Below are 7,363 nucleotides of genomic sequence, written 5' to 3'. Positions count from 1 at the left end.
AGGCTTAGACCATGAAAATAAGTTCTGTCCTTCCAAGAAAATAACGTTCATAACACTTACTGTATACCAGGCTGATTTCAGTGCTTTACATGTATTAATTTACAACAACTCTGAGGCACAAGCTGTGATTATGCCCATTTAACAGATGACAAAACTGAGGCACAAAGCAGTGCTGGAACTTCTCAAAGTCACACAGGTAGCAGGAGGCAGAGCTCGGATTTGAACTCACTTTGGGTTCAGCAACTCACAGCTCTCACCTATGACATAATATTACTTCTGTGGTTAAAACACTTAGACCTGGATTTTACAGGAATCTTGTGCTTGCCTGGCTGCTAGGGAGGTTTTCATCATCTTCCTTATCTCACAGTTCAAAACCCAGGGCCTCCAAGCTCTTGCTACGGTGGCTGTTCACTGGCAGGAGGCTTCTGGGAAGGTTCTCCTTTTCTGTCATTTTTCTTATTCGTCTTTTTTTGTCTCATTGGTGTTTATTCGCAGAACTTTGTTTCCTTCTGCTCAATTCATAATCAGAGTGCTTTTCCTCCTGGCTGAATTCATAAGTGTTTGTGCAAAAAGAGGTTGGCGCAGAGCCAGGCGACTGACGACACCCGGCTCATCTGGCAAGTGGATATCAAATTGTTGTATCTCGTTCTGCCATTCACAGCTCCTGCTGTGGGGCTGGGTCATCTGCCAGCTCTCCAAGGAGCTGGCGGGAAACCGCTGCAATCAGAGCAAACCCAGGGCCCGGGTGAGCCCGCCTCCGCACAGCACTCCAGCTGCCCCCAGTGCCTTTTGGGGACACATCTGCTTTGCCAGGCAGGGCTGTGGGAGGGCCGCCTGTCTCCTGTCCATCACAGGGAAAACCTACCCTTGTCCCGCGTCCCTTCCAGGCAGCCTGTGTGGAGCTTGCTGCATTCACCTTTAATATGGCTAAAATGTTTTCCTTCAATGACAGTAATGCTGCCAGAACCCATCAAGACACCCAGGAACTGATGTGCCTTGGCAGATGATGCTGGAAAAATGGGATTCCCGGCAGCCTTTGCATCCCTTGCTCACAGCCCACAAGCATCTCCACTGTCCAGCAGGTCAGGACACGGTCTCTCTCTCTAGCTCTGTGTCTCTCTCTCACGGTCTTTCTCATGGTCTCTGTCTCTCACGATCTCTCTCTCTCATAGTCAGGGCAGAAAGAGAGAGTCCATCTGGAGCAGACTCGGATTTTAAATGAGTGCCACCGATAATTTAACATGATCAATGGCTGAGGTATTTCACCAAGTTCAGGAGTCCCAGTTCTCAGAGAGAGGCAGCCAGCCATGACTGTAAGACCTGGGCAAACCGTACAAACCAGACAGCAGGTCTCACCGCTCCCCAGAGAGCTCCAGAGAATATCAAAGAGTGAAACAGCAGAGGGATGGTCTGGGTGGGGTCATCGTGGCTGGCAAGGGCCTGTGACAGCACCTTGTTAGGCTACTCCCAAGAGGAAATTTGGAGAGAGGGTGGGAGGGCGGCTCTCAGTGCAAGCTAAGTCTCCTGGAAAGTAACTTCCAAGCTTTGGAGGATTGTGAGCAAGATGGGACCAACTTCTACCTAAAAGCAACTTCTACCTGAAAGAATGTTAATAGCAAGATAACTCATCCTAATGTTGGTCCAAGCTAGGTCTTTATTATGTATCATAAAGGCTCTGAGAATAACAATGTAACCTCCAAAAGGGCTGCGGGCTTTGAGGAATCTCAGGCAACTCGCTTCCTTCTGCTCAGTGACTCCCGTGGAGCACAGCAAAGCAAGGAAACACTTAGAGCCAAGCTTGAGTTCTGAATTTCAAATACAGGGAGTCCATCTCTTTCTACCCAATTGTTCCCTAGATGAGTAACTAACTCCTTCCCCATAACTGCACATATTTCCTACCAAAGCACAAGAGCGATGGGCTGTCCATGAGCCTCCCCAAAACATGTGCACCTTGTGACATAAATTCTGTCACCCAAAGAGACCAGACAAAATGCAAAACCAAAGTGGAGCCTTTCCTTGAATTATAGGTTCTAAAGAGTTTTGGACCCTCTACAAAACCCAAGAGTTAGGAATTGCCTGTAAGAAGCACCAGCTCTTGTTTTAAAGAGGCAATTTAAGAATAATAGCCATGCTGATGCCACACTATGCTAAGGGAGAAGAATGAACCTAACAAAACAAGCGATTTTCCAATTGCTTTTGCTGCTGGAAACACTGATTATGCTAATTAAAGGGTAGAATAGTAAATAGCCACTCTTTTGCATCCAATTAAGTGTTCAGATTATTTCTCAGAAGTATTTGTTAAAAATAGCATTTCTGATAATCATGGGTCCCAAATAAACAGAGTCAAGTGCGGTGTGGTACATGTGTGAGTGTGTGTGTGTGCACACGTGTCTTTCTGGAGCTCATTTTATGGAGATCCAGCATAGCTCCCCAAATTCCTGTGAGAACAAATAAGAAAAATCACAGTCTTCTAAGACTACAGCTTGGGATATCTTTGGAAAAGGTGTGTATTGAGAACACAGCATATGGAAACTATTTCACGTTGGCAATGTCTGTGATTTAACATTGCAAATATTACAAATGAAACTGGTTCTTCAGAGTCACCTAAGTCCCTCATAATGGCAATATTAGCTTCTTCTAAATAATAAATTAGCCAGTCAAACTATGTTCTACAGCATGTTAGAAGTTTCATCCTTCTAGTCAATGTCACATTTCAAGACAAAGTCGATTTATATGTAAGTTAAAAGAAGTGCTGTCACTAAAAATTGAGAATTATGTCTAATGCCAATCAGAAATGGAATAAATAAGTATTAGAGGATTTGCAAGTGAAAGCAACCATAGAAATGCTATCATCAGGAAGGAAAATGTATTACCTGCAGAGGTTACAGATAAGACGTTAGAACCCAGAAGAGAAAGAATCTCTGTAAATATTTCCATTAAGTTAATCAAGAGTGGCTGGGTATGGTGGCTCATGCCTGTAATCCCAGGACTTTGGGAGGCCAAAGAGGGCAGATCACGAGGTCAGGAGTTCGAGACCAGCCTGGCCAACATGGTGAAACACTGTCTCTATTAAAAATACAAAAAATTAGCCGGGCGTTGTGGTATACACCTGTAATCCCAGCTACCCAGGAGGCTGAGGTAGGAGAATTGGTTTAATCCAGAAGGCAGAGGTTTCAGCTAGCTGAGATCACACCATTGCACTCCAGCCTGGGTGACAGATCATGGCTCCATTTTGAAAAAAAAAAAAAAATAAAGAAAGAAAGAAAGTTAATCAGGGTGAGAATAGGATGAGTTTTTCACCCACAAAAAGACATGAGATTCATGCATTCTTTCAACATGCATTCCATCAATAGTGAGCACCTGCTCTGAGCTAGGCCCATTCCAGGTCTCAGGAAATGAGTAACCAACCAGACACGGCCCCTGATTTGGAGCTCACATTTTAGAGCAGCTAAATGGACAGTAAACAAGTAAGCAAATTAAGATCGTCTTAAATTGGGGGAAGTTCTTTAGAGAAGCACTTCCATAAAGCTGAATCGCATCATAGACTATGACTGCCAGGTGGTAGGGAAGGTAATATCTCACCTGCTTGTGGATAGCAGAGCTTCTGAGGCCTTGCAAAGTATTTAGTACTAAGATTTCTGTCTTAGGTCAAGTTCCCTAAAAGCAGAGACTGAGGCAGGGATTGAGTGCATGTAATTCATTCAGGAAGAAGTCTCAGGAGATAGGAGTAAGGAAAACAGGATATGGCAGGAAAGGAGCTAAGTGAGATGTGGTCTCAGCTGGAGACTGGCTCCAGTCTGATCTCACAGGGAGCTCCAGAGGATGAACTGCACCACCATGTTATCCCAGCCTAAGGTCTTTTGTTCTCCTGTGTCAGCCGGTCCTTGGCCAAGGGCTGCAGACTCTCTTGGGGCCCCAGCAGACCGGAGGAGAAGGAGCATGCTCTGTGGTCTACTCTTTTGTGCACATCCACCCACCACTTCCCCAGCTGACACTGCTGGAGGAGAAGAGGGAGAGATGTCATCTCCTTCTATGGCAACCTGTGGGGTGGCAATGGCCCTTTTCCTGTTGGGTGTAATCTGCTGCCATCTCCTGCTGTCTGCAGCCTGACACAGAAGGGTGAATGTCACCAGGTTCCACTGACAGGGGTCTTTGTCTCAAGCAGCAACCATAGGACCGAGGGTCCCTTGCAAGATTCAGCCACATTTCATGACTGTCTGCAACACACCCCATGCCTCTGATGGAAGGAACCCAATGCCCCATGCAGCACTCATTTCTGCCAGACTAGAGTCCCTGATCTCAATTTCCCTCTGCAGTCCCCAACTCTGGGGTCTGCAGACAGATTTCAGATCCCTCCTTATACCTCCCAGGAGGCAGAAGCCAGAGGAAATAATCCTTGTCCCAATGCACCTGACCATGCCACCTCACTGCATGCTCTTTCTCCCTCTCCAGGAAAAATCAAGCTGGTTGAATACTAACCAATATGCCCACATGCATTTAGTCCCCATAACCACTTCTTGGGGCAGCATTACCATCCCCAAGTTACAGACGAGGAAACTGAGGAGAACATTTATATAACATGCATCTAAGTGGTGGACAAAGGATCTAACCAGGCCGTGTGGCACCAGAGCACACATTTTTGTTGTTCAGAGAGATGGGGTCTCTCTCTGTCCCTCAAATTGGAGTGCAGTGGCCTGATCATAGCTCAGTGCAGGCTTGAACTCCCAAGCTCCAGCAGTCTTCCCGCCTCAGCCTCCCGAGTAGCTGGGACTAGAGGCATTCACCACCAACCCAGCTAATTTTTAAAAAACATTTTTCTAGAGATAGGGTCTGATTCCAAACTCCTGACTTCAAGCGATCTTCCTGCCTCAGCCTCCCAAAGTGCTGATATTACAGTTGTGAGCCCCCGCGTCCAGCCCAGAGCAGATTTTTTTTTTTTTTTTTTTTTGAGATGGAGTCTCACTCTGTCACCCAGGCTGAAGTGCAGTGGCAAAATCTCGGCCCAGAGCACACTTTTAACCACCATATCATTCTGCCTCTGGGTAGGTTAGTCAAGCTCTGTAGCTGATCAGATGTCTGTAGAGAGAAAGAGACATCAATCTCCCCTTCTTCCAAACACCCCCAAATTTTACAAGTGATTTTCTCAGATCCCTCAGCATCAGGAATGGGGATGTGCAGGGCAGCCTGTCCCCTTCCCAACAGCCCAGCAGATATCCCAAGATTACATCTCATTGGCTCTGACTAGGACATGAGCCCAAAGCTGAACCAGTAGCTGTAGCCATGGCATGCAGCATCCTCGGTCCTCTGGCCAGGCCAGAGCTACATCCCACCTCTGGATCCCCGGGTTGAGTCAATAATCTCCAACCAGGCGCGGACTGAAGCTCAAGGGGGAGTCATAGTAATGTGACCCAGCCCACCAGGAAGTGGGTGCTGAGCAGGCAAGCATTCATCACCCACTGCACACACCAGGGAAGGCTTGTGGTGGCTTAGTCCCACCTGGGGGCAAAGAAAAGAGTGCCTGCTCCATGCCAAAACGTGATGCCCAACACCGTATCTTAAAGCTAGCTGGCTTTGTAATCCCTGCTACTTGGAAGGCTGAGGCAGGAGAACCACTTGAATCCAGGAGGCGGAGGTTTCAGTGAGCCAAGATCACGCCAGTGCGCTCCAGCATGGGTGATAAGAGAGAAATTCTGTTTCCAAAAAAAATAAAAATAAAAATAAAAAAATAAAAAGCTAGCCTGCTTAATCCTCACAAAGATGCCATCTACTTTTTGGCATTCTAGATGTAGAAACACTGAGACGCTGAGAAACTCACCACCAGCCGGGAACGGTGTCTCATGCCTGTAATCCCAGCACTTTGAGAGGCTGAGGCAGGAGAATTACTTGAACCCAAGAGTTCAGGACCAGCCTGGGCAAATTAGCGAGACCTCATCTCTACAAATATTAAAAAAAAAAAAAAAAATTAGGGCTAGGCGCGGTGGCTCACACATGTAATCCCAGCACTTTGGGAGGCCAAGGCAAGTGGATCACTTCAGCCCAGGGATTCGAAACCAGCCTGGCCAACACGACACAACTCTATCTCAACTAAAAATACAAAACTTAGCTGGGCATAGTGGCACATGTCTATAATCCCAGCTACTTGGGAGGCTGAGGCACGAGAATTGCTTGAACCTAGGAGTCAGAGGTTGCAGTGAGCTGAGATTGTGCCACTGCACTCCAACCTAAGTGACAGAGTGAGACCGTGTCTCAAAAACAACAAAAAAAAATATTGGTGTGGTGTCACATGCCTGTTGCCCCAGCTGCTCAAGAGGCTGAGGTAGCAGGATCACTTAAGGCCCGAAGTTCAAGGGTGCAATGAGCTATGATTGTACCCCTGCACCACAATGTATACATATATGTGTATGTGTACACACACACATATACATGTGTATGTATATATGCGTGTGTACACACACACATATACATGTGTATGTATATATGCGTGTGTACACACACACATATACATGTGTATGTATATATGCGTGTGTACACACACACATATACATGTGTATGTATATATGCGTGTGTACACACACACATATACATGTGTATGTATATATGCGTGTGTACACACACACATATACATGTGTATGTATATATGCGTGTGTACACACACATATACATGTGTATGTATATATGCGTGTGTACACACACACATATACATGTGTATGTATGCGTGTGTACACACACATATACATGTGTATGTATATATGTGTGTGTACACACACATATACATGTGTATGTATATATGTGTGTGTACACACACATATACATGTGTATGTATATATGTATGTGAGTATATGTACACATATATACATGTGTATGTATATATGTATGTGTGTATATATACACATATATACATGTATATGTATATATGTGTATATATACACACATACATATATACATGTACATATGTGTATATATATGTGTGTATATATATATGTGTATATATATAAAAAACACACATGCACAAATTCACCACCACCAACTCAGAAATTACCGTCTCCTTCTATTCTAAGGAACTATTTTTCATATTGCCATCTCTGTAGTTGTAATACACCTTACAATCACTGGAATGTCACGGTCTCATTGGCAGCATTTTTCTGCTCAGTAGCCCATAAAATAATAGTACATCTTGTAACTAACAGTGTTGTAGATGCTATGAGATCCTGGGGAAGCCCAGAATCTAACTCCACCCTGTCTGACTCCAAAGACCACATATTTCCTACACCTTTGGACAGGGGCACAGATGTAGACAACTCGAGCTTTGCTGATTGTGAGAAAGGTATGACAAATGGCCCTGATGGAATTTTCTTCTTGTACT

The 7,363-nt window shown here is 45.2% G+C and overlaps 1 annotated feature.

Moving 5' to 3' along the window:
- Positions 255–756: an enhancer, noted in NCBI's record as "H3K4me1 hESC enhancer chr8:12070506-12071007 (GRCh37/hg19 assembly coordinates)". NCBI's record gives its function as "activates a minimal SCP1, AML or CMV promoter by ChIP-STARR-seq in primed H9 embryonic stem cells {active_cell/tissue: H9 hESC(primed)}" and the evidence as "EXISTENCE:reporter gene assay evidence [ECO:0000049][PMID:30033119]".

Source organism: Homo sapiens, chromosome 8, assembly GCF_000001405.40.
Source record: "Homo sapiens chromosome 8, GRCh38.p14 Primary Assembly".
In the NCBI taxonomy this organism is placed as follows: Eukaryota; Metazoa; Chordata; class Mammalia; order Primates; family Hominidae; genus Homo; species Homo sapiens.
The sequence above is the reverse complement of the archived record's forward strand: the minus strand, read 5'-3'. Positions and strand labels throughout refer to the sequence as shown.